Raw genomic sequence first — 27,848 nt, forward strand, 5'->3', positions numbered from 1 at the left:
TGGAGGTTGCAGTGAACCGAGATTGCGCCACTGCACTCCAGCCTGGGCGACAGAGACTCCATCTCAAAAATAAACAGAAAACCAGAGCATCCTTTTATCAAGAAGTCGGTGGATTGCAGTATTTCAAGGGTGAACAAGTAAATGCAGCCTTCTCCAAGAGTGAATCTCATTCTGGCACCAGAATTTATCCATGACAGATAATTGACCTTCTGATAAACATTCCTTGTAAGGATGCTGGTGTTACCCAAAATATTAAATATTTATAAAGCTGAATAAAATGTAAGTTCTGATACCTTCCTCACTCTACAAAGGATCATTTCGTGCCTCACACTGTTTGCCAGGCCGTGCTGTAGCGCTTTGTCGTAAAATACACACAGATTTCAATGACTTAACGTAGGAGAAGAATGTAAAATACCTTGTTGACTAAAGAAAAACAGTTAAGCTTTTAAAGAATTAAAGTTAGTTTTATTCAGAAGCCTTACTGAGGACCGTACATCCTGGCCCCAGCCCAGGAGCTCAAGCGATCCTCCTACCTCAGCCTCTCAAAGTGCTGGAATCACAGGTGTGAGCTACCAGGCCTCTCACCTTGTTCAAAGTTAAAATCTAATCCACAAACTGCTTAGATTTGTTTTCCTTCATATTTTTATGACTAGATGATCTAACATTTTACACCATTTTTCTGGAAATGTTGTTTATGCCAGGTGTCTGAACACACATCTTAAAGGGCTCTAACTTTTCTGGGGAGCAGTAGCTTTTTAGCCCAGAGTCTATGACAATGTGACAATGATGAGAGCTGCTGAGGTTTGCTGCAGTCTCTGGGTGAACGATGCTTTCTAGGGAAACAATGGGGCATAAAACAGACATGGGCTCTCCTGCCTTGAGATTAATCGCGTGAGATGGACCCCTCCCCAACACACAAACATTGTGGGACATGAGGTGCTGGAGACGGGGTTGCTCACCCAGAGCTTAATGGGTCTGTCCACCTTTGTGACCAAGAGGCCTCTTTTCTTAGAGGCTGAGGGGCCCTGGGATGATGAGGGTAAATCCACTTTTTAGAGCAGGAATCTCCAAACCCCAGGCCACGGACCAGTATCAGCACCTGTCTGTGGCCTGTTAGGAACCAGGCGGTGCAGCAGGAGGCAAGCAAGGGAGCTAAACTGAGCTCTGCCTGCTGTCAGCAGCAGCACTGGACTCAGAGGAGTGTGAACCCTGTTGTGAACTGCACATGCGAGGGATCTAGGTTGTGCACTCCTCATGAGAATCTAATGCCTGATGATGGGAGGTGGAATAGTTTCATCCCGAAACCACTACCCCATCCATCTCTGGAAGAATTTTTTTCCACCACCTGTGGAAAAGTTGTTGACGTGGCTAGACTTTGTGTCTTCACCCACATCTCATCTTGAATTGTAATCCCATAATCCCTATAATCCCCACGTGTCGAGGGAGAAGCCAGGTGGAGTAATTGAATCACGGGGATGAGTCCCCCATGCTGTTGTCTTGATAGTTGTCTCGAGATCTGATGGTTTTATAAGGGGCTCTTCCCCCTTTGCTTGGCACTTTTCCCTTCCTGCCATCTTGTGAAGAAGGTGCCTTGCTTCCCCTTCACCTCCTGCCATGATTGTAAGTTTCCTGAGGCCTCCCAAGCCATGCTGAACTGTCAATTAAACCTCTTTCCTTTATAAATAACCCAGTCTCGGACAGTTCTTTATAGCAGTATGAAAATGGAATAATACATTTGTCTTCCACAAAACCCATCCCTGTTGCCAAAAAGGCTTTAGAAAACGCAGTGTGGGTAGGTGGTGAATAGATGGGAGGAGACTCATGTTTTTGTCATGTAGGAGAGCAGCAAGAGCTCCTCTCAGGAGAAGAGGTTTTTGCTGTGAAATATGGTGCGTGCTTTTCCATGGCCTATGTAGTGCTCAGCAGATGCCCTAGCATCAATAGGATCCCAAACCCCTTGTTCTGTTTATTACTGGTAGGCAGTTAGGATCGTGTCAGCCATGTCTTGAGAACATGCCTTGTGAGTCATGCACCAGATTTGTTAAAGTGTCGGCTCTGTGTAGCTCTGTTGTGCTATGCATAACATCTACTTAAAAAATGAGAGCTGACAGCCTCGCTTAGCTTTCTATCCACAAGTCCCCTGCTTAAAATTCTGGATAAATGTTTCCGTTCCTATGGGAAACCTCCATTATCTCCATAAGTAGAGAATGCAGATAGGTATCTTTTTTCTTTTACTGATGGAGACACTAAGGCCCAGTGTGATAAGTTCAAGCGCCCTACAGGGAAAGGCACAAGCAGGCCAGGCTCTAGAGTTCCCTAAACAGTAGCTATAGTGCCTGCCCTTTGTCCCTGGCCCCCAAGGTGTCTAGGAAAAGAGGCTCCCGGTCACTGAGGTAGACAGACCCCTATGCCTGGTCTCAGCATCCTCGCTGTCACCGGCATCTCACTTCCCACATGGTTTCCACGTTGGGGAGGGAGACTACTCACCCCATTAAATGCGGCTGCTAGGGTCATGTCTGTTTCGCCCCCACTGTTTCCCTAATGCTCAGTAGGTGTTCAATAAATAGTTGTTGGCTTACTCAATGTGTGGACCTCTGGGGCAAGAGAGAGGGAGGGACACAACGCAGTCCCAGCTGGCCAGGAGCGCTGTGAGCTCAGGAGGTTGCTGTGGGGGAGATGGTGAGGTAGGAATTTGGCAGGACTTGTTTCACAAGATAGAGGTCACAAAGACCCGCTGATAAAACAGGATGTGGTAAAGAAGCCTCCAAACTCCACCAAAAGCAGGATGGTGATGAAAGCAGCCTCCGCCTGTCCTCACTGCTCCTTATATGCTAATTATAACGCATCAGCTGCCAAAAGACACTCCCACCAGCCATGACAGTCTCCAAATGCTATGGCCACCCCTGAAAGTTACCCTATGTGGTCTGAAACAGGGAGGAACCCTCAGTTCCGGGAATTGCCCACCCCTTTCCTGGAAAACTCATGAACAGTCCACCCCTTTTTAGCATACGATTAAGAAATTACCATAAAAGCCAACTGGCACCCCTCAGGGCTGCTCTGCCTATGACGTAGTCACGCTTTTATTCCTTTACTTCCTTCATAAACCTGTTTTCACTTCATTCTGTTGGCTCACTTTTGAGTTCCTTCCCGTGGGAAGCCAGGAACCCACGTGGTCTCACAGGCTGAGTCCTACTTTGGGGGTTTGCCCTGTGACAATGGGAACAGCCCAGTGGTCTGCCACCCTCCAGAGCCGACCTGTCCCTTTTCCTTTACCTTCATCGGCTCCCAGGAATCAGGTAGAAAAGGGTGAGGTGGCTTTTCTTGCCCAGGAGGCTCAGGGGCAGTGCTGCTGGGCTGCACTGGGTTCCTGTAACTCATCACTGCAGGAGTTGATGTCCTAGATAGAAGTGACCTCGATCTGATCCAAGGGACCATCCCCTAAAAGTGACTTCCTGCCAGAAGTCTCCACCCATCCGTAGGTATTAAAGGGTGAACACTGTTCATTTCTAGGCACAGCCCTGCCTAAACCCAACTGGCTGGGGCAAGGCACCTTGCTGAGCGCTGCCTGAACTCACCTCACTGCTGTCTTGACTCTCAGACCCTGCACTGGCTGGTCAGAGTCTAGCACACGTGCAGTGTTAACAGAAAAACCAGACCCTGTAAAAATGTTTTCAAGAGGGTTATTCTGAACCAGTAGAAGTGACTGTGGCCTGGAAAAAACACAAACCCAAAAAGCCTTAAGTGGTCACAAGGTACCCAGGTAACAGTTTCTGTCAGGCCTCTGAGCCCAAGCTAAGCCACCATATCCCCAGGGACCTGCACATGTACATCCAGATGGCCTGAAGCAACCGAAGATACACAAAAGAAGTGAAAATAGCCTTAACTGATGACATTCCACCATTGTGATTTGTTTCTGCCCCACACTAACTGATCAATGTACTTTGTAATCTCCCCTACCCTTAAGAAGTTTCTTTATAATCTCCCACACCCTTAAGAAGGTTCTTTGTAATTCTCCCCACCCTTGAGAATGTACTTTGTGAGATCCTCCCCCTGCCCTCCAAAACATTGCTCTTAACTCCACCGCCTATCCCAAAACCTATAAGAACTAATGATAATCCCACCACCTTTGCTGACTCTCTTTTTGGACTCAGCCTGCCTGCACCCAGGTGAAATAAGCAGCCGTGTTGCTCACACAAAGCCTGTTTGGTGGTCTCTTCACAAGGACACGTGAGACAGTTTCCTTTTTTTTTTTTTTTTTTGAGATGGAGTTTCACTCTTGTTGCCCAGGCTGGAGTGCAGTGGCACAATCTCAGCTCACCACAACCTCTGCTTCCCAGGTTCAAGCGATTCTCCTGCCTCAGGCTCCCAAGTAGCTGGGATTACAGGCGTGCAGTACCACGCCTGGCTAATTTTTTCTATTTAGTAGAGATGGGGTTTCACCATGTTGGTCACGCTGGTCTCAAACTCCTGACCTCAGGTGATCTACCCGCCTTGGCCTCCCAAAGTGCTGGGATTACAGGCAGTAGCCACTGTGCCTGGCTGGTAACAGTTTACTTTTATACATTTTAGGTAAACAGGAGTTACAGGCAAAGATGTAAGTCAGTGCATGGAAGGTATACGTTTGGTTCAGCCTGAACGGCAGGCTATCCCAGAGCAGGGGCTTACAAGTCATACGTGGGTTTTACAGATTCTTTACTTGCCATTTGAGAGAGTTAAGCTATTATTTATATTACGTTTTGGGGGAGTCAAAAAGAGTTAAGCTACCGTCTAAAGACCTGAAGTAAGTAGAAAAGAATGCTTGAGTTAAGGCAGTTGTGGGGGTGAAGGCCCTTGTTATGTAAATGAAAGCCTCATAGGTTTCTAGCAGCCCTCCGAGAAAATGGATGGCAAATGTCTCTTTTCAGACTTTAAAGGTGTCAAGCTGTCAGCAAATCTCTCCTAGATCCAGGCAAGGCCTGGATATGTTAATGGACATTCTCTACAGATGCAAATTAATTTCCCCCACAAAAGATAGCTTTTTTTTTTTTTTTGAGATGGAGTCTCGCTCTGTTGCCCAGGCTGGACTGCAGTGGCACAATCTCGGCTCACTGCAAGCTCCGCCTCCCAGGTTCACGCCATTCTCCTGCCTCAGCCTCCCGAGTAGCTGGGACTACAGGCGCCTGCCACTGTGCCCGGCTACTTTTTTGTATTTTTTAGTAGAGACGGGGTTTCACCGTGTTAGCCAGGATGGTCTCAATCTCCTGACCTTATGATCCACCTGCCTCAGCCTCCCAAAGTGCTGGGATTACAGGCGTGAGTTCACCGCGCCCAGCCGAAAGACAGCTTTGCAGTGCCATTCCAAAATATGTCAAAGAAATATATTTCACAGAAAAATATTTTTATTTCCATTCTGTCATGTGTGCTCATCCAGAACCAGTTTGGAAAGGAAGCCACATTGTACCAGGTTAATTAAAAAAAAAAAAAGTTTGACAAGGGTTTATGGTTAGTAGGGTGTGAATCAGCCTTTGCCTGCCATGGCCTTAGGTCTTGTTTATAATTTGGTATCTTATTGCCACAAAGAGTCTGTTTGATCAATCTTATCTCTATTTTAACCTAAAAGAAAAACTTCAGCCTGTTGCAGGAAGCCAGGGACCCCGAATGGAGGGACCAGCTGAAGCCACAGCAGAAGAACATAAATTGTGAAGATTTCATGGACATTTATTAATTCCCCAAATTAATACTTTTATAATTTCTTACGCCTATCTTTACTGCAGTCTCTGAACATAAATTGTGAAGATTTCATGGACATCACTTCCCCAATCAATACTGTTATAATCTCCTATACCTGTCTTTACTTTAATCCCTTAATGCCATCATCTTCATAAGCTGAGGATGTCTGTCCCCTCAGGACCCTGTGATGATTGCGTTAACTGCACAAATTGTTTGTAAAACGTGTGTTTGAACAATACGAAATCTGGGCATCCTAAAAAAGAACAGGGTAACAGTGACTTTCAGGGAACAAGGAAGATAACCATAAGGTCTGACTGCCTGCGGGGCCGGGCAGAACAGAGTCATATTTTTCTTCTTGCAGAGAGCAAATAGGAGAAATATTGCTGAATTCTTTTCCCAGCAAGGAATAACCCTGGAAAAGGAATGCATTCCCAGGGGGAGGCCTCTAAAATGGCCACTCTGGGAGTGTCTGTTTTATGTGGTTGAAGATAAGGGATGAAATACACCTTGGTCTCCTGTAGTGCCCTCAGGCTTGCTAGGATTAGGAAATTCCAGCCTGGCAAATTGTAGTCAGACCGGTTGTCTGCTCTCAAACCCTGTTTCCTGTTAAGATGTTTGTCAAGACAATGCATGCCCAGTGGGACATGGAACCTCATCAGTAATTCTGATTTCACCCTGGCCTTGTGATCTTGCTCTGCCCTTCTGCCCTTGTGATCTTTTATTGCCCTTTGAAGCATGTGATCTTTGTGACTTACTCCTTGTTCGTACCCCCTCCCCTTTTGAAACCCCTAATAAAAACTTTCTGGTTTTGTGGCTCAAGGAGCATCACGGAATCTACCAATAGGTGATGTCACCCCCCAGAGGCCCAGCTGTAAAATTTCTGTCTTTTGTACTCTTTCTCTTTATTTCTCAGACCAGCCAATACTTAGGGAAAATAGAAAAGAACCTACGTTGAAATATTTATTGGAGGCTGGTTCCCCTGATAGTATGAGCTTCAGCTTGCAAGGCCTCAGGGAAAATGTGGTAGCAATTTCATTCAGTCCACATCAGAAAGATGGAAGAAGATTTTGAAAATGTTAGTTTGGAGATTTGTAGCCAGATAAGAATGGAGGATTCATCACAAATTGTAGAAAATAATAAAAACTGAAAAAACAATGGACAAGGCTGGAAACTAACAACAAGTGAACTATAGTATTCTTTCTTTAAAAAAATTATTGTAGGGAAGAAGTCTTGCTATGTCACCCAAGCTGGTATTGAACTTCTGGCCCCAAGCAATCCTCCCACCCAGCCTGTAGTTTTCTTTTGAAACATAATTTTTCTGTCTCCAGTTTCCCATTGTTATCAAGAAGAAATCATAGTAAGACCAATATATTGGTAAAATAAGTTTTAGTCTTATTACACTTGGCCCGATTATTTGCATAAAGTATAGTAAAAATAGTAATTGGCCATATAGGCTCTTTTAAGTTGCTTTTGCTGGAACTTTTTATAAGGTTAGACTATTTATTTAATCTCTCTGTCTCTCTCTCTTTTAGACAGAGTTTTACTCTGTCACCCAGGCTGGAGTGCAGTGGCATGATCTTAGCTCACTGCAACCTCTGCCTCCCAGGCTCAAGTGATCCTCCCACCTCTACCTCCCAAGTAGCTGGGACTACAGGCGCATGCCACCACACCTGAGTATTTTTTGTATTTTTGGTACAGATAGGGTTTTGCCATGTTGCTCAGACTGGTCTCAAACTCCTGACCTCAGGAGATCTGCCCACCTCAGCCTCCCAAAGTGCTGGTATTACGGGCATGAGCCACTGCACCTGGCCTTATTTATTTTTGATGCAGGGTCTCACTCTGTTGCCCAGGCTGGAGTGTAGTGGTGTGATCATAGCTCACAATGACCTTGAACGCCTATGCTCAAGTGGTCTTCCAACCTCAGTCTCCCAAGTAGCTTGGATGAGAGAAACATATCATTACACTGGGCTTTGTTGTTGTTGTTGTTGTTTTGAGAGATGGAGTCTTACTATGTTGCACAGTCTGGTTTTGAACTCCTGGCCTCAAGCAATCCTCCTGCCTTGATCTCCCAAAGTATTGGGATTACAGGCTTGAGCTACCATGACTGGCCAAGGTCAGACTTTGTAAAAGCCTCTTGAGCCAAGCCAAGGATTTATCTGTGCCTGCAGATACCTGTATGAGTTGGGAGCCAAGCCAAGGATTTATCTGTGCCTACAGATACCTGTATAAGTTGGATGACTTATTCTAGAGGTCTCAAAATATATTTTGAGATTCCTGGGCCTAATCAGAAAATGACATTCTTTACTTAACACAGGTCAGGAAGCTTGCAGGGGAACCACTGAGTCAAGGTACCAGGCCAGTCTTTTCAACTGTCTTTTTTTCAGCTCTATAAGTTAACCTCAATTCCTCAAAACAGTCCAGTCATATCTAAAATATGCCATTCTAGTCAATGCCTTGGTAAAATAATCAGTGTCTCCAACTGTGTCCTGTTATGAAAGACAACAGATTCTTACTGACCTTATGCAAATAACTATATTGCCATAAATTAGGAATACTCACAAATAGTTTTCAAACTTGGAGACATCAGATGAAGAGAAAGAAATATGCTTCAAATTTTGCTCACAAGAATATACTTCACTCAATTGTTAAAAGCTATAAATAGCTCAAAAGAAAATAGTTTGTCAAATATCAAAGGTTTAAAACACTTCATATCACAAAATAGGATCATAGGTCACTGTAAAATGGTCATTGAGCCACAATGATAATTGAAATACTTCAAAAAGCAAAAATTATATACTCTTTAATAGAGTCAGTTTCCCAAACAATCATAAACCTAATAAATTCAGGCTGGGCACGGTGGCTCATGCCTGTAATACCGGCACTTTGGGAGGCTGAGGCCAGTGGATCACCTGAGGTCAGGAGTTCGAGACCAGCCTGGGCAACAGGGCGAAACCCCATCTCTACTGAAATTACAAAAATTGGCCAAGCGTGGTGGTGCATGCCTGTAATCCCAGCTACTCAGGAAGCTGAGGCAGGAGAATCACTTGAACCTGGGAGGTGGAGGTTGCAGTGAGCCAAGATTATGCCACAGTACTCCAGCCTAGGTGACAGAGCAAGACTCCATCTGAAAAAAAATTCAAAAGCCAAAAAACTAATAAATGCAGCATGAGGCCACTGAATCTGTCTGCCTCCCTCACCTATTTTGTTTTGTTTTTTGAAGTTTACTCAAAAGGTAAACAAACATCGTGTACTCTTATTACACAAAAATTTTGTTGAAAAAGGAAACCAAATTTTACATTTGCATTAGTGTTTTATTAATAATAAAGCTAATTTTAATAAAATTTTATAAACAAATCCATCCATTCTTAACCAGTTTGACCACAAGATTTTTATAAACCTTTTATAACCTTTGACAATTTTCCATTTTCTTTTTCAACTTTCTATATACATTTAGTTTTATCTATCATTTTTAAATTCCCTCAGTGTAAAACTTAACTAGGCAAAATTAATATCCCTTTAACAAAAACTACAATGGTATGGCTTCTTATAACCTCCTTTACTAAAAACACGTTTTACTTTCCTCATATATTTTGCATATAGAAATGTTTTTCTTATATCTAGTAGTTTTATTTACTTATTTATTTTTGAGACGGAGTCTCACTGTGTAGCCCAGGCTGGAGTTTTAATTACATATATTAATTATGATGTGAACTCTTAGTAACACTTATTTTTAGAGAAAAACCTGGAAGGTCAGCAATTTTAATAATGTGCTGGATGCAGAGCCCAGGACAAAGGACAGTGCCTGCAGCTATGCCTCCACATGGCTGAGGTGGGACGATTGCTTGAGCCCAGGAAACAAAGATTGCAGTGAGCCAAGATCTCACCACTGAACTCTCACCTGGGTGACAGAAAAAGACTCTGTTTCAAAAAATTAAAATAATAAGCAACAGTTTTATGACTTTAAAACATTTAGGTGACAGAATCTGACCAAACAGACCATTAGACTTAGACAAAAATGTCTAAGTTAAATTCTGAAGACATTTTACTGTCCTGTTTTACCAATAGTTTAGAACCCTATTTACCAAAGATTGCTAGAGTCACCTGAACTAGAACTCATTTGAGTTAACGTTTCTGTTTTTCTGATAAAATATTTGATTTAAGTGCTTACCTTTTCCTTAAGCCAATTAATTAGAGCTCTTTCATGTATTTTGGTAGTGAAACATGACATACACATGACATACGTAAACACATAGACATACAAACACACAAACAGAAGCAGATCTTATAGACTCATAAGATTCTTCATTTGCCATTTTTCAAATAGTTTCTCTCCCTCACTTCAGACTATTAATCTCTTAACTGTTTCATGCCCTAAACAATTGTGAGGGAACTGTAAATTTTCATCTCCAAAAACATGACTCGGCAGGTTGAGGCAGGAGAATCAGGCAGGGAGGTTGCAGTGAGCAGAGATGGCGGCAGTACAGTCCAGCTTTGGCTCGGCATCAGAGGGAGACCGTGGAAAGAGAGGGAGAGGGAGACCATGGGGAGAGGGAGACGGAGAGGGAGACGGAGAGGGAGAGGGAGAGGGAGAGGGAGAGGGCCTGTTTCTTAATTAGATGACTAGATAAATTAGATTACCCTGAAGAGTAGAGCCCTTTAATGAAAAGAGGAAAGAAAGCATGGTGTTTTTAGGGCCTAATCTTTAAATACGCATAAAGCAGGCACAGCTGGAAGGCAGAGCACAGATCCTCCAAAATCAAAGATCCCATTTTTACACCAAATCCTGGGTCCCAGAAAGAAGAGAGCAGTGTGGGACTGGCCGGTGCAATGCTCCCACGGTACATTTCATCTCCTCACAGGACTGAAAGGTGTGATCCTCCCACGGTGCATTTCATCTCGGCACGGGACTGGACGGCGTGATGCTCCCACGGTACATTTCATCTCCTCACAGGACTGAACGGTGTGATCCTCCCACGGTACATTTCATCTCAGCACGGGACTGGACGGCGTGATGCTCCCACAGTGCATTTCATTTTGTCATGGGACTGGACAGTACAGTGCATTTGATTTCAGCACAGGACTGGACCGGGCAATACCCCCACAGTGCATTTCATTTTGTCATGGGACGGGATGGTGTGATGCTCCCCACAGTGCATTTCATTGTAAGGACATTCCCTGGAGGCTGGTGGGCAACCCAGAGCTCTAACTCAACAGTAGAGTAGGTTAGTTGCTGGCCACTTGCAGAGTCCAATTATTTAGAATGAGGCCTGGCACAAATAAGGTTATTTATTCCAAAGGTAGCTTGGGGAAGTGGCACAGGCATCTGTCTTGCATTTAGCTGTCCCACTTTGCTTTTGGAACAGAAAGTGGGCACTTCTAAAAGACAGGGGAGGAAGTGAGCAGGGGCAGGAGTGGGTTCATGCTAGCTCCAGTGCCTTATCAGGTGGTCGAGCTTGTGACTGCTGGCACTTTTGTGGGCAGACCATTATCTCTCCAGGCCACTCCCTGATGGGGGAGTTCCATAGCAGGCATGCTTTGGTCTGTAAATCAACTGTTAACTCTCCAGGAGTTAGATGCACTTGCCGGGGGATCTCGAGGGACTGTCTGGTGAAGGAGGGGAGAAAAGGCTAGATTTGCATACCTAAAGGGCTAAGTAGGAAGTCAGGAACTGGGAAAAGGAGAAAAAAAGAGAGGAAAAAAATAATTAAACATCTTTTAGAAAAATGGGGGTACTCGGAAACAAAGCCAGTTATCCCAATCTGTGGTCAGCCTATCGCCCGTGGAGTCGTATCCCTTGGTGGGCTGTGTTTTCATAGCCTCTAGGTAACACAGGCACACCTCAAAATTGGGGCTTAGCCTGAGAGAGTTCTTGGCTTTGCTCAGGAAATAATTTAAGAGCAGGGCTAACCCACAGGGAGAGGCTAGAGTAGCAGTAAACAGCAGCAGGAGGAGGAGCAGCAGCAGCAGCAGGGGCAGCCACAGCTGCAACAAGGGAGCACTGGCTAGCCACAATTACACCCGGTCTTAATTATATGCTAATCAAGGGGTGGGCTATTCTGAATTTTCTAGAAAAGAAGTAGGGGAGTTCTGGAACCATGTAGGGTATTGCCATGGCATTTATAGGCTGTCATAGTGCCGTAAGGAAGGTCTTCATGCTGATGAGCAGTGAGGGCAACTGGAGGTCACTTTGCTTTCCATCTGCTGGTTTCAGCTGGTTTTTTTCTTTATTTATTTAAGCCTGCTTTTTTTTTTTTTTTTTTTTTTTTTTTTTTTTGAGATAGGGTCTCGCTCCATTGCCCAGGCTGGATCGCAGTGGTACAATCATGGCCTACTGCAGCCTTGACCTCCTGGGCTCAAGCAATCCTCCTGCCTTAGTCTCCCAAGTACCTGGGCCCACAAGCACATGCCACCATGCTTGGCTAATTTTTTAATTTTTTGTAGAGATGGGGGTCTCACTATGTTGCCCAGGGTGGTCTCAAACTCCTGGGTTCAAGTGATCCTCCTTTTGCAGCCTCCCAAAATTCTGGGGTTATAGGCATGAGCCACTGCACCCAGTTTGCATCCTGCTTTGACCAGCAGGGTCATTACCGGTGCTCAGAAAACAAATCCGGCTGATTTCCCACCTCATTGGTGCCCCAAACCATGCTTTTTGTCACCCCCTGTAGTAATAACCATTTTCTGTAAGCAACTGCCATCAGCCACCTCTAAAACTGTATCTCTTGCCTAGCCATTACGCAAACCACGGTCAAGTTTTCTCACAATACAGGGTCATTTTTGGTATCTCCGAAAAGCCAAAGAAATCGGGTAATACTGTGCAAAAGAGAGCGGAGCGTTAGACCTCAGGAGACTCTCCATGTGGTGCTTGAAACTCCACAAGGAAAGCAGAAGACCTCCAACCAACGGTGAGTGGCATCTTTTTTTTCTGAGTTCCTTAAGGGGTTTGGGTCATTAGAAATCTCTAGATCTCTTTACATGGTACTGAATATGGCAGCGGAAGCAGGAGTGGGGCGGAGTAAAAGTATATGGGAGAACAATTTTTTTTAAATGAAGTGAACAGAGGTGTCAGAGGCGTTCGAACCAGAGTGACTCCATCTTGAACAGGGTCTGGGTAAAATAAGGCTGAGGCCCACTGGGCTGCATTCCCAGGAGGTTAGGCACTCTTAGTCAGAGGATGAGATAGGAGGTTGGCACAAAATATAGGTCACAAAGACCTTGCTGATAAAACAGGATGCGATGAAGAAGCCAGCCGGAACCCACCAAAACCAGGATGGCGATGGAAGTGACCTCTGCCTGTCCTCGCTGCTCATTATATGCTAATTATAATGTGTTAGCATGCAAAAAGACACTCCTACCAGCGCCATGATGGTTTACAAATGCCATGGCAATGTCAGGAAGTTACCCCGTGTGGTCTAAAAAGAGAGGGAATCGGTCGGGTGTGGTGGCTCACGCCTGTAATCCCAGCACTTTGGGAGGCCGAGGTGGGCGAATCACTTGAGGCCAGGAGTTCGAGACCAGCCTGGCCAACGTGGTGAAACCCTGTTTCTACCAAAAATACAAAACTTAGCCAAGCATGGTGGTGCATGCCTTTAATCCCAGCTACTCAGGAGGCTGAGGCATGAGAATCGCTTCAACCCAGGAGGCGGAGCTCGCAGTGAGCTGAGATTGTGCCACTGTACTCCAGCCTGGTTGACAGAGTGAGACTCTGTCCCCCCTGCCCCCCAAAAAATCCTTTCAAATCTCTTGTTACCAGATTTTAGCTGGGCCAAACAGCTGATAATTCTTTTTGTATAAGACCCAGAACCATCCCAAAGACAGCTCAAAGAAAGTGAAGTTTCACTAGCCACAAGTGGAGTCTAACTCACATTTCTGTTCAGCTGTATTCTCTAGGGTCTCAGCTTCTCAGCTGACCACCTGCACATAAGGGTCCAAAAGCCCTGTGTCCCAAAGACAGAAGGCAGGAAATCAAAAGCTGTTCATGGAAGGGATAAGGATCAATAAATGGAAGCCAGTAGGGACTGATTCCCTGATCAGGAGGCAAACCCAAGCCGCAGTGAGAATTTTAAATACCAGACTCCAAAATGGAGTAGCTTCCATTGTTAATCCCACATGGAATCCAAAGTGTGCAGTTTGGTTGTTTTGTTTGTTTGTTTTTGTTTTTGTTTTAATTTTTTTAAGAGATAGGGTCTCACTGAGTAGCCCAGGCTGGAGTGAAGTGGTGCAATCATAGCTCACTGCAGCCTCAACCTCATGGGCTCCAGCGAAACGCCTCATCTTGTCTTTAACCTCCAAACTGGGCTTGTGCCAAGTTCACTTTGGGAGACATTTAGTTTGTGGTTTAAATGATAATAGCCCTTCTCCAAAACTAAACTGTCATCATAAGGCTAATGAAAGTCTACCAAGTTAGGACGATGAAAGGAGCCTGAGTTCTGCTGATGTGTACGCATAAATCTAAGATTGGCCTTTTGAGATGTCTTTTCAGGATTTTGCATTTCTTCTTCTTCTTCTTTTTTTTTTTTTTTTTTTTTTGAGATGGAGTTTTGCTCTTGTTGCCCAGGGTGGAGTGCAGTGGCCCGATCTTGGCTCACTGCAACCTCTGCCTCCCGGGTTCAAATGATTCTTCTGCCTCAGCCTCCAAAGTAGCTGGGATTACAGGCGTGTGCCACCACACCCAGCTAATTTTTTATTTTTTATTTTTAGTAGAGATGGGGTTTCACCATGTTGGCCAAGATGTTTTTGATTTCCCGACCTTGTGATCTGTCTGCCTTGGCCTCCCAAAGTGCTGGGATTACAGGCGTGAGCCACTGCGCCTGGCCAGGGTTTTGCATTTCTGATAGCTGATGGCTCCACCTGGACCTGCCAATGTGTCCTGTGGCCTCACCCAGAAGAAGACTGTCACCCCTGTCATTGCATCTGCAACCAACCAGCAGCACTCATTCCCAGGGCCCCCAAACTATCCTTGAAAACTCCTAGCCTCCGAATTCTGGGGAGGCTGGTTTGAGTCATAATAAAACTCCAGTCTCCTGTTCAGCCAGCTCTGCATGAATTAAACTCTTTCTCTATTTCGATTCCCCTGTCTTGATAAATTGGCTCTATCTGGGAAGTGGGATAAATGAACCCACTGCACGGTTACAATAGCAGCATTCACGAGAGCCCGATGGCCATGAACAGACAAATGAATCGACAACGCACGGCGTTCACACAATGGAATATGATATGGCCACATCCAGGACGAGGCACTGACACAGGCTATGACATGGAAGAGCCTCAAAACATCATGCAGAGGGGAAGACACCAATGCAAGAGGCCACATATTACACAACTCCACGTATATGAAATGTGCAGAACAGGCAAATCCAGAGATGGAAAGCAGATTGGTGGTTGCCTTGGACCAGGAGCTGCTTAACGGGTGTGTGGTTTCTTTTTGGGTGGTAAAAATGTTCCGAAACTAGATATAGTGGTCACACAATGTTGTATATTTACTAAATGCCACTGAATTGTGTTTTTTTGTTTGTTTATTTGACGGAGTCTCACTCTGTGACCCAGGCTGGAGTACAGTGGCGTGGTCTTGGCTCACTGCAACCTCCACATCCCAGGTTCAAGCAATTCTCCTGCCTCAGTCTCCCCAGTAGCTGGCATTACAGGCATGCACCACCACCCCTGGCTAATTTTTTTGTATTTTTATTAGAGACGGGGTTTTGCCATGTTGCCCAGGCTGGTCTCGAGCTCCTGAGCTCAGGCAATCCTCCCAGCTTGGCCTCCCAAAGTTCTAGTTCTAAGATAACAGGTGTGAGCCACCATGCCTGGCTTGAATTGTTCATTTTATTTTATTTTATTTTATTTTATTTTATTTTATTTATCTTTTTAAGACAGAGTTTCACTCTTGTCACCCTGGCTGGAGTGCGATGGTGAGATCTTGGCTCACTACAACCTCCACCTCTGGGGTTCATGCGATTCTCCTGTCTCAGCGTCCTGAGTAGCTGGGATTACAAGCACCTGCCACCAAGCCCAGCTAATTTTCATGTTTTTTTCTTTTTTTTTCTTTTTTTTTTTTTTTGAGACAGAGTCTAGCTCTCTCGCCCAGGCTGGAGTGCAGTGGCGCGATCTTGGCTCACTGCAAGCTCCGCCTCCCGGGTTCACGCCATTCTCCTGCCTCAGCCTCCCGAGTAGCTGGGACTATAGGTGCCCGCAACCATGCCCGGCTATTTTTTGTATTTTTAGTAGAGACGGGGTTTCACCGTGTTAGCCAGGATGGTCTCAATCTCCTGACCTCGTGATCCACCCACCTCAGCCTCCCAAAGTGCTGGGATTACAGGCGTGAGCCTCCGCACCCAGCTAATTTTTGTGTTTTTAGTAGAGATGGTTTCACCATGTTGGCCAGGCTGGTCTCGAACTTCTGACCTCAGGTATCTGCCCACCTTGGCCTCCTAGAGTGCTGGGATTATAGGTGTGAACCACCGCACCTGGCCTGAATTGTTCATTTTAAAAATGGTAATTTTGGCTGGCCATTGTGGCTCACACCTGTAATCCCAGGCCAAGGTGGGTGGATCACTTGAGGTCGGGAGTTCAAGACCAACCTTGGCAACATGGCAAGACCCCCATCTTTAGAAAAAATAAAATAAAATAATTAGCCAGGCATGGTGGCATGCACCTGTAATTCCAGTACTTTGAAAGACTGAGACAGGAGGATCGCTTGAGGCCAGGTATTTGAGACCAGCCTGGGCAATATGGCAAGACCCCATCTCTACAAAAAAAAATTTTTTTTAATTAGCTGAATGTGGTGGCACATGCCTGTAATCCCAACTACTTGGGAGGCTGAGGCAGGAGGATTACTTGAGCCTAGGAGTTTGAGGCTGAAGTGAGCTATGATCACACTACTGCAGTCCAGCCTGGGCAACAGAGCAAAACCCTGTATTTAAAAAAAATTTTTTTGTGGCCGGGCATGGTGGCTCACGCCTGTAATCCCAGCACTTTGGGAGGCCGAGGTGGGCGGATCATGAGGTCAGGAGATCGAGACCATCCTGGCTAACACGGCGAAACCCCATCTCTACTAAAAATACAAAAAATTAGCCGGGCGTGGTGGCGGGCGCCTGTAGTCCCAGCTACTCGGGAGGCTGAGGCAGGAGAATGGCGTGAACCCGGGAGGTGGGGCTTGCAGTGAGCTGAGATCGCGTCACTGCACTCCAGCCTGGGCGACAGAGCGAGACTCCGTATAAAAAAAAAAAAAAAATTTGTAAATGGTTAATTCTATGTTGTGTGAATTTCGCCTCAATATTTAAAATGAAAAAGAAAAAAGTCAATAGATGTGACTTAGCTGGGTTATATTTGAGGTGTCTAGACATCCAAGTGGAGCTGTCAGGTAGGCAGTTGTAAAACACAACAGGAGTGACCAGTTTTACCAGCTCTTATGGAAATAGCTGCTTCCTGCCATTCCCCACCCAGCCCACTGCACGCACTGTTGCGGCCCAGAGGTGGGCGTGAGGTCTCTGCTGCCACTCATCCTCATCCACAGCCAGCCACGCTGCAGAGCCACCCAGCCAGAGACACCTACTCTGGTCTCCAGCTAGGATGTTGAGGACCTGTTTCGAATGTCTTGGAAGAAGTCCTGGAATCCTCCCAGCCCCCAGGTACAAGAGTGAAGACGCATACGCTCCCTGTTTATACACCCTGACCCTTTATTTACATCCACCCATGGCAGGGGAGTCAGGTAGAGGCCCCCTTCCTCGATCAACCTAAACTCCTGATCTTGGGGTTTTCTTGTGAGGGTCTGATTTTTATTCTTCTAGGGCCTCACGCCTCCATCTTCTTCTGGTGCCAACATCATGATTTCAAGGCAAAGCTTTTCCCCAACTCCCTACCTTCTATGGATGAATAAAGTGCCCAGAGGAGGCCAGACATGGTGGCTCATGCCTGTAATCCCAGCACTTTGGGAGTCCAAGGTGGGCAGATCACTTGGGATCAGGAGTTTGAGACCAGCCTGGCCACCATGGTGAAACCCCGTCTCTACTAAAAATACAAAAATTAGCTGGGCATGGTGGCACATAGCTGTAATCCCAGCTACACGGGAGGCTGAGGCAGGAGAGTCGCTTGAACCTGGGAGGTGGAGGCTGCAGTGAGCTGAGGTCAAGCCACTGCACTCCAGCCTGGGTGACAGAGTGAGACTTGTCTCAAAAAAAAAAAAAAAGTGCCCAGAGGAGCTCTTCAGCTGGCCCAAGTCTGGCACATGTCCGTTTCTTCACTGATCACTGCCACGGGGCACAGAGCCCCTGGGTGGTGCTGTCCTGGTGCCTGCTGGCCCCTGTCCCCCAGGTCCCCCTTCTGAGTTTTTCCAGGGATACCCTAACCTAACCTGGCCAGATTACTAGAGGTGCTGCTTTATTGGCTCTGGATATGTGTATGCAGCTGCAATTCTGTGTGATATAGATGACCTGCCAGTGGGGCCCTCCTGAAGATGCCATAGTGATTAAGATACGTTTTGTTTTGTTTTGTTTGAGACAGGGTCTCCTTCTGTTGCCCAGGCTGGAGTGCAGTGGTGCAACCACGGCTCACTGCAGCGTCTACCTCCTGGGCTGAAGCGATCCTCCCACCTCAGCCTCCGGAGTAGCTGGGACCACAGGCATGTTGCACCATACCCGGCTTTTTTTTAAAATTATTTTTTGTAGAGACAGGGTCTTCCTGTGTTGCCCAGGCTGGTCTCGAACTCTTGGCCTCAAGCAATCCTCCCTCCTCAGCCTCTCAATGCACTGGGGTTACAGGCATGAGCCACTGCACCTAGCCTAAGATATGGTTTTTGACCTCAGAAAACACAGGGTCCTTCAGGGTTGTGGCTTCCTTGACTGTTTCTTTTTATTTTATTTTATTTTAGGTTCCGGGATACATGTGCAGAATGTGCAGGTTTGTTACATAAGTAGACATGTGCCATGGTGGTTTGCTACACCTGTCAACCCATCACCTAGGTTTTAAGCCCCACGTGCATTAGCTATTTGTCCTGATGCTCTCCCTCCACTCCCCCTACCATAGGCCCCAGTGTGTGTTGTTCCCCTCCCTGTGTCCATGTGTTCTCATTGTTCAGCTCCCACTTATGAGTGAGAACATGCAGTGTTTGGGTTTCTGTTCCCATGTTAGTTTGCTGAGAATGATGGCTTCCAGCTTCATCCATGTCTCTGCAAAGGCCCTTCATTCCTTTCTATGGCTGCACCTTGACTATTTCTATGGCTATTTCTGTTCTTAGGGAGGCTCCTCCCATCTCCAGTGCATTCTTCTGCCCCCCTCTTTTACTGGGAATGGCGGCATTTCTTTGCGTTTTCTGTAACTAGAATTCTCTGTGTGGCTGGCACAGTGTGATGAGCTGGCAAGCTTCCCCACTGTGGGGGAGGGCTTATCATGAGGTCTGCTGGAGGAAACTAAGAGAGCTGAGCCTTAGGGGCTTAAATGAACTGCCTGAGGGGAAGCTGACACCCAGTGGGGCTGTAACCCTGGTTGGAGAGTTCATGTCTGCACCTGGCCTCGGCCTGCGTTCTCACTTGCTCTGCCCAACTGGCTGTGCCTTCAGCCGGCTCATCACCAGGAGATTTGGGTTGGAGCTACTGCTCAGCCACCATGAGCTACATGACCTTGAAGGCCGATCTTTGATTGTCCGCAGGATAATCCTGAAGGTTCTCAGGCCATGGACCTGTGAATTTCCCTTCTTTCAGTGTCTGCATCATTGGGAACCAAGCCCCTAACCAATGTTTATTCATTCGCTCAACCAATATTTGTGGAATATCACAGCCCTAGGGGTGGGGACACAGCAGGGAACAAGAAAGACAAGAATTATTGTCCTCAGTAGGTTACTGTGGAGTGGGGAGGCTGGCAGGAAGCCACGTAACTAGAATACACGTTAGGTCAAGGCAGTATTCCCACAGAGAAGATGGAACAGGGAAGGGGAGTGAAGGCCAGGATGGGAGGTCTACGGACTTAAGTAGGATGATCTGGGAAGTAGCATTTGAGTAGAGTCTGGAAGGAGGGATGGGAAAGAGTGTTCCAGGCAGTGGGAACAGCAGGTGCAAAGGCCCTGGGGCAGAAGTGTGCCTGGACTGTCAAGACTGTTGGGCTGTGTGTCTGGAGCAGGTAAAAGAGAGATAAGGTCAGCAAGGACCTGATAAGCAGAGCCTCATGGTCACGCTGAGGACTCCAGGACCTGTACACCGAAGGGAATGACAGGAGCTGACTCATGCCCTAGCAGGACTTCTCTGTCTGCTGTGTTGAGCGCTGGTGATGGGGGCGTGGGAAGAAGTTAGGAGCCATTACAGAGGTCCCGGTGGGCCATGATCAGGACACCACAATGCAGGTGGTGAGAATGGATCGGATTCTAGACATATCTCAAGGTGGAGGACCAAGACTTTCATCTAAATCTAAACAATAGTTATGAAATGTTAACTTGAGATGGATCTATTGGAATTATTCAGATACTTCCAATAATGGATCATGAGAACCAAGAAAGGCCCTAGAATTTATCCTGATCTTCGTAGGATTTTCCCAAGGGTAGAAATGATGATGAACTGGGTGACCGTTCACAAAGGAGAGAGGATTCCCAGCCCCCAAGCCTGAAGCCTTCCCCTCAATCACCCTCAATCACCATCTTCTGTGGGTCGACCAGATGCACGGACTGTTCTCAGCCATCCCTGTGGTTCTTACGGCAATGTCTAGCTGTGGGACTGCACTGGTGCTTCGATGGCTCATAGAAGCCCCATATAAGGCACTGCTCCTGTGGGATGTGCCTGTCAAACCTGCTTGTCCACTGCCGTTCAGTTCAGCCAGAGATTGGGCCACATTCAGTCCTCGCTTCCCTGGGAGGGGGAAGGTAAGTGCGCGCAGTCCATCCGGCGAAGAGCAGGTCAGCCTACGGAGGGCTCAGCCTACGGAGGGGCTCAGCCGACACAGGTCTGATGGGGCCCGAGAGTGGTCCCAGGGGAGTGGGAGGGGCCGGCATCTTCCTCATCAGGAGTGGAGGAGCTGCCTTGTATGTGGACTAGAGAACAGAAAACGGCTTGTCTGTGTTGCTGGGTCAATCACTGGAACATTCTCTGAATGCTGAGTTCTGCCTTAAAACAGCATGGGTCATGCTAGATGAAAGGGATCTCTGTTTTATACTCTCATCTCTTCGCTATTGCCGTGGGATGAAAGACAGCAGAAGGAAGGTGTCTAAGTTCAGAACAAAGTGAGCAAGACCAGCTGGCTGCTGTTGGTAGCAGAGGCACAGCCAGCCTGTCATGGCACTGGGGGGCCGAGGTGAGCTGTGCCCCCTCCTCCTGGGCTTGTGACCCTCTGCCCCCCATGGGGTATGTACATGTGTGTGTGTGCGTGTGCGTGTGTGTATGTGTACATGCCTTCTTCCCTACTTCACTGGCAAGGGAAGAGACTGACACTTGGGTTAGGAGAAGGATGTTGACCTGGGAGGGGTCAAATAAGGAGAACCCACATCTTAGATGCTCAGGATTTTATGATCTTAGGCTCTTCTAGAATTGCTGTACAGTTAGATTCAGAGTTTGGAATTAGAGATCTCTGGGCCCTCCCCTCCCCTCCCGTCCCCTCCCCTCCCGTCCCCTCCCCTCCTCTCCCCTCCCCTCCTCTCCCCTCTCCTCCCCTCCCCTCTTCTCTCCTTTTTCAGAAGTCTCCCTCTGTCGCCCAGGCTAGAGTTGCAGTGGCACAATCTCGGCTCACTGCAATTTCTGCCTCCTGGGTTCAGGTGATTCTCCTGCCTCAGTCTCCCAAGTAGCTGGGACTATAGGTGCACGCCACCACACCTGGTTAATTTTTTTATTTTTAGTAGAGACAGGGTTTTGTCACGTTGGCTAGGCTGGTCTCAAACTCCTGACTTCAGGTAATCCGCCCATCTTGGTCTCCCAAAGTGCTGGGATTACGGGCGTGAGCCACGGCTCCTGGCGCCTTCCCATTCACCTTCCCCTTCCCCTCCCCTTCCTCCCTCCCTCCCTCCCTCCCTCCCTCCCTCCCTTCCTTCCTTCCTTCCTTCCTTCCTTCCTTCCTTCCTTCTCTCTCTCCTTCCCTTCCTTCCTCTCTCTTTCTTTTCTTCTTTTCTTTCTTTCTTTCTCTCTCTCTCTCTTTCTTTCTTTTCCTTTTTTTGAGCCAGGGTCTTGCTCTGTCACCCAGGCTGGAGGGCAGTGGCACAATCATAGCTCACTGCAGCCTTGAACTCTTGAGCTCAAGCAATCCTCCTGCCTTGGCCTCCAAAGTGCTGGGATTACAGGCCTGAGCCACTGTGCCCAGCCCTAAGGTTTTTTGTTTTGTTTTGTTTTGTTTTACTGTTAGGACTAACCCTTATTTACACTGGGACAAGTTACAAAGAAACTCCTGCAATTGTTAACTGCCATTGGAGACTACTGTAAGTTGCTTCATGGCAACTGCAGAAGGGACTAGTGACTTCTATTTAGCTCCACCCACTGATGCTTGAAGTTCAGTGTGGCTCTGGGGGCTCCAGAAGCCTGAGGGGCAGCTGGCTGGGGCAGTTGGCTGGGGTCTGGAGAGTTCTGCAGAGCCCCTGTCTTCAGCTGCTGGTGAGGCAGCTTTGGCTTGAGCTGCCCTGGCTTTCTGAGTTCAGTCTGATGGGAGGGCACAGTCAGCACCCTCAGACCCTCCTCAGGAGTCTTGTGAGGCTCGGGCAAGTCAGGGGCAGAGGGACAATCCAACTAGAGGACCCTCCCAGACCCGGTCGTTGCCACCTGGACCCAGCCCCAGGAAGGCACCCGAGAAACCTGTAGTCCTCGGCTGACCACCAGTCCTGGTCCTCAGGATATCCGCAGAGACCTGGCTGTCCAGAACTCCCAGGGTTTCAGCTGCAAGCTGGAGATGTGGCCCCTTGGCAACTCGATATAGTAAGATACTGGAGAGCGTGCCAGAGTGTCATTTGCTAGAAACAAACATTATACTGCGGTAAGCCCTAGTTTTTCAGTCATTGGCTCTTTGGCACCAACTTAATCACAAGGCCATTGGCCCCAAAGAAAGGCCTTGTAGGCGACTGTTTAGGGACACCTGTATTTTCCATCTGCCTTGGAACCTCTAGGCTCAGGCCGAATGCCTATTGAAGTAGATGTTTCGTAAGAGATTTGGGGGCAAATACTGGGATTTTATAAAGATGCTGCACTCTCCTTCACTAAGTAGAAAGCTGAGAAATCCTGCCCTGAGGGGAAGAAACAGTTGTCTTCCTGACTGATGCATCCTAGACCAGCCAAGACTTCCTCCCGCTTTCCTTCTTCTAGAACTTTCCCCACTTCAGCCAGTATCTGTCATCCCCTGGGCTCCCACCCTCTCCATGTGCCGCTTTCATCGGGGCTGAGGGGAGCAGGAGAGGAGACGTTTCTGCTGGTGTCCCCGCTGTAGCTGGAGGAGCTCGGCGTCGGCGTGCCTTCGCCTCCCCTTGCCATGATGCCCCCTAAACCGAGTCTGTATTGAGAGAGAAAGGTGGCACCGTTGATCATTACTCCAGGACAAGAGTCATAAAAGGACTGTCCCAGACAACCTAGGACCCCAGTGTTCTGTGGCGAACACTTCTAGGATGAGGCCCATCTCCTTCTCTGTTTCATCAATTGGATTAATTTTATTGTTTTCTAAAATAATGACTATGGTTTTTATTGAACCCATACTTGCTTATTCTAAACATTCTTTTTTTTTTTTTTTTTTTTTTTTTTGAGGTAGAGTTTCACTCTGGCTCCTAGGCTGGAATGCAGTGGCACCATCTCAGCTCTCTGCAACCTCCACTTCCCAGGTTCAAGCGATTCTCCTGCCTCACCCTCCTGAGTAGCTGGGACTACAGGCGAGCACCACCACAGCCGGCTAATTTTTCTATTTCTAGTAGAAATGGGGTTTCACCATGTTGGCAGGCTGGTCTCGAACTCTGACCTCAAGTGATCTGCCTGCCTCAGCCTCTGAAAGTGCTGGATTGCAGGCGTGAGCCACCGCACCAGGCCTAAACAGATTTCTTTACAATCTACCACCATGAACAGCAAGCATTAGCATTGGTGAGGAGTGTTCCAGAATCCCTCTGCTCTCTGCCTCTCCATTTCTCTCCCCCTCTCTTTCTCTCTCATGCACACACACACACACACACACACACACGCGCGCGCGCGCGCGCGGAATGACAGGACAGACTGATCGGCAGATTGGATGAATGGATGGATGGGCACATAGATTGAGGGACTCCCAGAGATAAACTAACACCATTTTATAAAAATGGTATCATATTCTACATGATTGAAATGTAAACTTTTAATTTTACTTAAATTTTAGTTCAGCTCAGATGTTGCTGGCAAAAGTTTTTTTTTATTATTTTTATTTTTTATGTACTGCTCCTTGAGGAGCTGGGCTAACTCATAGGCAGTGCATCCAGATTCGGCATTTTTTTTTTTTTAGATGGAGTCTCGCACTGTCACCCTGGCTGGAGTGCAATGGCACAATCTCGGCTCACTGCAACCTCTGCCTCCCAGGTTCAAGTGATTCTCCTGCCTCAGCTTCCCAAGTAGCTGGGATTACAGGCACACACCACCACACCTGCCTAATTTTTTGTATTTTAGTACAGATGGGGTTTCACTATGTTGGCCAGACTGGTCTCGAACTCCTGACCTTATGATCTGCCCACCTCGGCCTCCCAAAGTGCTGGGATTACAGGCGTGAACCATCGCGCCCAGCCAAAAAATATTTTTTAATTGTTAAAAATAATAATGGAATGCCAAATGTAGTAGAACAGTTTCACAATGACAAGAACTATTAGTTCCTAAAAAATCCCCAAGATTCAGATAAGAGATTACAAAAACCTTGATAAATTAGTGACATTATGTAAAATCAACAGTGCTGGGTTTGGTGGCTCAGACCTGTAATCATTGCACTTAGGGAGGCAGAGGCGGGAGGAGTGCTTGAGCCCAGGAGTTTGAGAGCCTGGCCAACATAGCAAGACCCCATTCTCCACAAAACGGAAAATACAATAAAATAAAATCAGCGTTTTGTTTTATTTTATTAATTTATTTGAGATGGAGTCTCGGTCTGTCTCCCTGGCTGGAGTGCAGTGGCGTAATCTCAGCTCACTGCAGCCTCTGCCTCCCGGGTTTAAGCGATTCTCCTGCCTCAGCCTCCCAAGTAGTTGGGATTACAGGCATGTACCACCACACCCAGCTAATATTTGTATTTTTAGTAGAGACAGGGTTTTGCCATGTTGGCCAGACTGGTCTGGAACTCCTGACCTCAGGCGACCTGCCCGTCTCTGCCTCCCAAAGTGCTGGGATTACAGGCGTGAGCCACGTCGCCTGGACTTCCTTTATTTTAGATAGCACAGGGTCATGGAAGATAAAGTGATGCCTTCCTTCCCCTACCCCCTACCCCGATTTCTACTGCTTGCATTATTTCTTAGGGTAAAGAATCTTCTTATTTGGCTGGAAGACTCTATTCCCACCGTAGTTTAGTCCTGGATGTGTGATTAAAGAAATCCAGTGGTTGCCCTGCGCTGAGAAGGACAGCCGGGCCTGGGTTCTCTCCTGGCTCAGTACAGCCCCCTCCCCACTCCTGCTGAGGACTCCCAGGGAAGCTGGAGGCAGCTCTGGGGCGTTTTCTCTGACTTCCCTAGACTTCTCTTCAGCTGCCCAAACAGTAGAGGGATGCTGAAGCCCTCTCTTCCCGCAGTCTGTCCCTAAGGGTTGCGCTGGCACCTGTGCCCCCAGTGCCCCTTGGCAGCACTCCTTTGGTTTCAGGGCTTGTCTGCCATTTTTCTTTTTTCTTTCTTTCTTTTTTTTTTTTAAGACAGGGTCTCAGTCTGTCATCCAGGCTGGAGTGCAGTGATGCAATCTCATTTCACTGCAACCTCTGCCTCCCGGGCTCAAGTGATCCTTCCACCTCAGCCTCCCAAGTAGCTTGGGGACCACAGGCTCACGCTACCATGCCCGGCTAATTTTTGTATTTTTTGTAGAGACAGGGTTTCGCCATGTCACCCAGGCTGGTCTTGAACTCCTGGGCTCAAGCGATCTGCCTGCCTCAGCCTCCCAAAGTTCTGGGATTGCAGGTGTGAGCCACCATGCCCGGCCTGCTATTTTTCAGTTTGTGGCAGAAAAGTTGTTTTCCTTTCCTCATTTTGTGGTTGCTGCTTTATTCACTTATTTATTTTTTTAACTTTTTAAAACGCAACATTTGGTTCATTTCACCAGGAGCTGGGGAGGGAGGTACAGGAGGCTGCCCTGATCCTTTGTTGGGTTTGATCTGGAGACTTTGACGTGACAGAGCGACTGCGCCCACTGGTTGTCCTCTAAGAAGGCGTGAGGGGAAGCCCAGACGCCTCTGCAGGAGCCAGAGACATTCCTAGGGGGTCACAGGGTCAGCTGAGGTGAACAGGGATTCTGGAATGAGGAAGCCAAGGGGATGGAAGGGAGGAGGCTGGCAGGGAAACGCCCAGAGCACGTGCTCCTGCCCGACACCTCCAGGCAGAGAACAGGAGCTGGCAAGAGAGGAACCCCGCTTGTGGTGGGGACGCTGAACAGGCAGGGCCTGGCTGGGATGGGGGCCCAGCCTAGGCTGAAAACGAAGAGAAAGGAAAGTGGGTGCCGGTGTCCCACGCACTGTGGACCCCCAGCCCTGGCCCTGGGGTGGCAGGGGCAGAACCGGGCACTGCAGGGACCTCCTCAGCCCACCCTCCTCCTGCTTCCTGGCAGGGATGAGAGAGGGAAGCAGGAGGCAGGGTGGGATTGCCAGCTGCTCTCGGATCGTTTTTTTTTTTTTTTTTTTTTTTTTTTTTTTTTTTTTTTTAAAAACGGGATCGTGCTATGTTGCTAGGCTAGTCTTGAACTCCTGGGCTCAAGCGATCCTCCTGCCTCTGCCTTCCAAATTACAGGCATGAGCCACTGCACCAAGCCTGGATCTTTTTTTTTTTTTTTAAACAACTTTGTTGAAATATAACTCACGGCCAAACACAGTGGCTCACACCTATAATCCTAGCACTTTCGGAGGCTGAGGGGGGAGGATCACTTGAGCCTAGGAGTTTGAGACCAGCCCAGGCAACATAGTGAGACCCCCTTCTTTACAAAAAACAACAACAACAAAAAAAATGAGCCTGGCATGGGGGCACATATCTGTATTCCCAGATACTCCGGAGGCTAAGGTAGAGGATCACTTAAGCCCAGAAGACGGATGTTGCCGTGAGCTGAGATTGCACCATTGCACTCCAGCCTGAGCAACAGAGCAAGACCTTGTCTCAAAAAAAAAAAAAAAAAAAAAGGAAGAGCTATAACCCATACGGCACACAATTCACCCGTTTAAGATGCTTCTAGTGTATTCACAGATGTGTGCAATCGCCGCCACAGTTAACTTTAGGACATTCCATCATCTGTAAAGGAAACATCCCCTACCTTTAGCTACCATCCTGACATCCTGATAGACAGGGGGCCTGAAGACCCCTCGGTGATGCAGGGCAGGGCTGGAGTGGGGGCCCTGGGCTGACTTTATTGCTCGCTATTGCTGCCTTGAAATTCTGAATACGTTTTTAAAACAAACGCACCATCCTTTCATTTTGCCCTGAGCTCCACAGACGATATAGCTGGTCCTGAAGTGGGGCAGAGGATCATTCTGACTTGGAGTCAGACTCTAGCGACGCAGGCTTCTACTGGGTGGAGGCCCAGGAGCTCAGGAGCCTTCTGTGGGAGTGTGCCCATTGGCAGCGCATCCCTGGAGATGGACGGACAATTTCCACATCGCCTTTGCCCCTGTGCACGCTCCCTCTGGCTGCCGTCATAAATTACCACAAACTGGGTGGCTTAAAACAACAGAAATGTATTTGCTCATGGTTCTGGAGGCCAGAAGTCCACACTCCAGGGGTGAGCAGGGCCGCACCCCCATGAAGGCTCCAGGGAGGGTCTGCTTCATGCCTTCTCTTGAGTTTCTAGTGTTGCCACCGACCCTTGGCGTGTCACTCCAGTCTCGGCCTCTGCCAACATGGGGTGATCATGGGGTGTCTAGGCCTAGGGCCCTTCTCCTCCTCTTCTTCTTCTTCTTTCTTTTTTTTTTAAGACAGGGTCTTGCTCTGTCGTCCAGGCTGGAGTGGAGTGGCACTACCTCAGCTCTGCAACCTACACCTCCCAGGCTCAAGCGATCCTCCCACCTCAGCCTCCTAAGTA

At 47.6% G+C, this 27,848-nt stretch overlaps 1 protein-coding gene across 10 annotated transcripts in view, besides 5 other annotated features; it reads left to right on the forward strand.

The window, feature by feature from the left end:
* Positions 2,896-3,397: an enhancer, noted in NCBI's record as "H3K27ac hESC enhancer chr17:78126203-78126704 (GRCh37/hg19 assembly coordinates)". NCBI's record gives its function as "activates a minimal SCP1, AML or CMV promoter by ChIP-STARR-seq in naive H9 embryonic stem cells {active_cell/tissue: H9 hESC(naive)}" and the evidence as "EXISTENCE:reporter gene assay evidence [ECO:0000049][PMID:30033119]".
* Positions 3,398-3,897: an enhancer, noted in NCBI's record as "H3K27ac hESC enhancer chr17:78126705-78127204 (GRCh37/hg19 assembly coordinates)". NCBI's record gives its function as "activates a minimal SCP1, AML or CMV promoter by ChIP-STARR-seq in naive H9 embryonic stem cells {active_cell/tissue: H9 hESC(naive)}" and the evidence as "EXISTENCE:reporter gene assay evidence [ECO:0000049][PMID:30033119]".
* Positions 6,048-6,585: an enhancer, noted in NCBI's record as "OCT4-NANOG hESC enhancer chr17:78129355-78129892 (GRCh37/hg19 assembly coordinates)". NCBI's record gives its function as "activates a minimal SCP1, AML or CMV promoter by ChIP-STARR-seq in primed H9 embryonic stem cells {active_cell/tissue: H9 hESC(primed)}" and the evidence as "EXISTENCE:reporter gene assay evidence [ECO:0000049][PMID:30033119]".
* Positions 6,188-6,388: a silencer, noted in NCBI's record as "peak3022 fragment used in MPRA reporter construct". NCBI's record gives its function as "represses an SCP1 promoter by STARR-seq MPRAs in K562 erythroleukemia cells {active_cell/tissue: K562}" and the evidence as "EXISTENCE:reporter gene assay evidence [ECO:0000049][PMID:32103011]".
* Positions 13,922-14,216: a silencer, noted in NCBI's record as "tiled region #5287; HepG2 Repressive non-DNase unmatched - State 22:ReprW". NCBI's record gives its function as "represses a minimal TATA promoter and a strong SV40 promoter by Sharpr-MPRA in HepG2 cells {active_cell/tissue: HepG2}" and the evidence as "EXISTENCE:reporter gene assay evidence [ECO:0000049][PMID:27701403]".
* Positions 20,522-27,848, forward strand: part of CARD14 (caspase recruitment domain family member 14) — a 39,302-nt gene continuing 31,975 nt past the window's right edge. For 3 of the 10 annotated variants that reach the window (NR_047566.2, XM_011525213.2, XM_011525216.2), the window contains exon 1: positions 20,522-20,548. The gene's annotated coding sequence lies outside the window, so the exon portion shown is untranslated. Of the gene's footprint in view, positions 20,629-23,397; positions 23,721-27,848 lie in introns of those variants that run through there. The other 7 variants (XM_047436713.1, XM_047436719.1, XM_047436714.1 and 4 more) reach the window with 4 other exon arrangements.

Source organism: Homo sapiens, chromosome 17, assembly GCF_000001405.40.
Source record: "Homo sapiens chromosome 17, GRCh38.p14 Primary Assembly".
Taxonomy (NCBI): domain Eukaryota; kingdom Metazoa; phylum Chordata; class Mammalia; order Primates; family Hominidae; genus Homo; species Homo sapiens.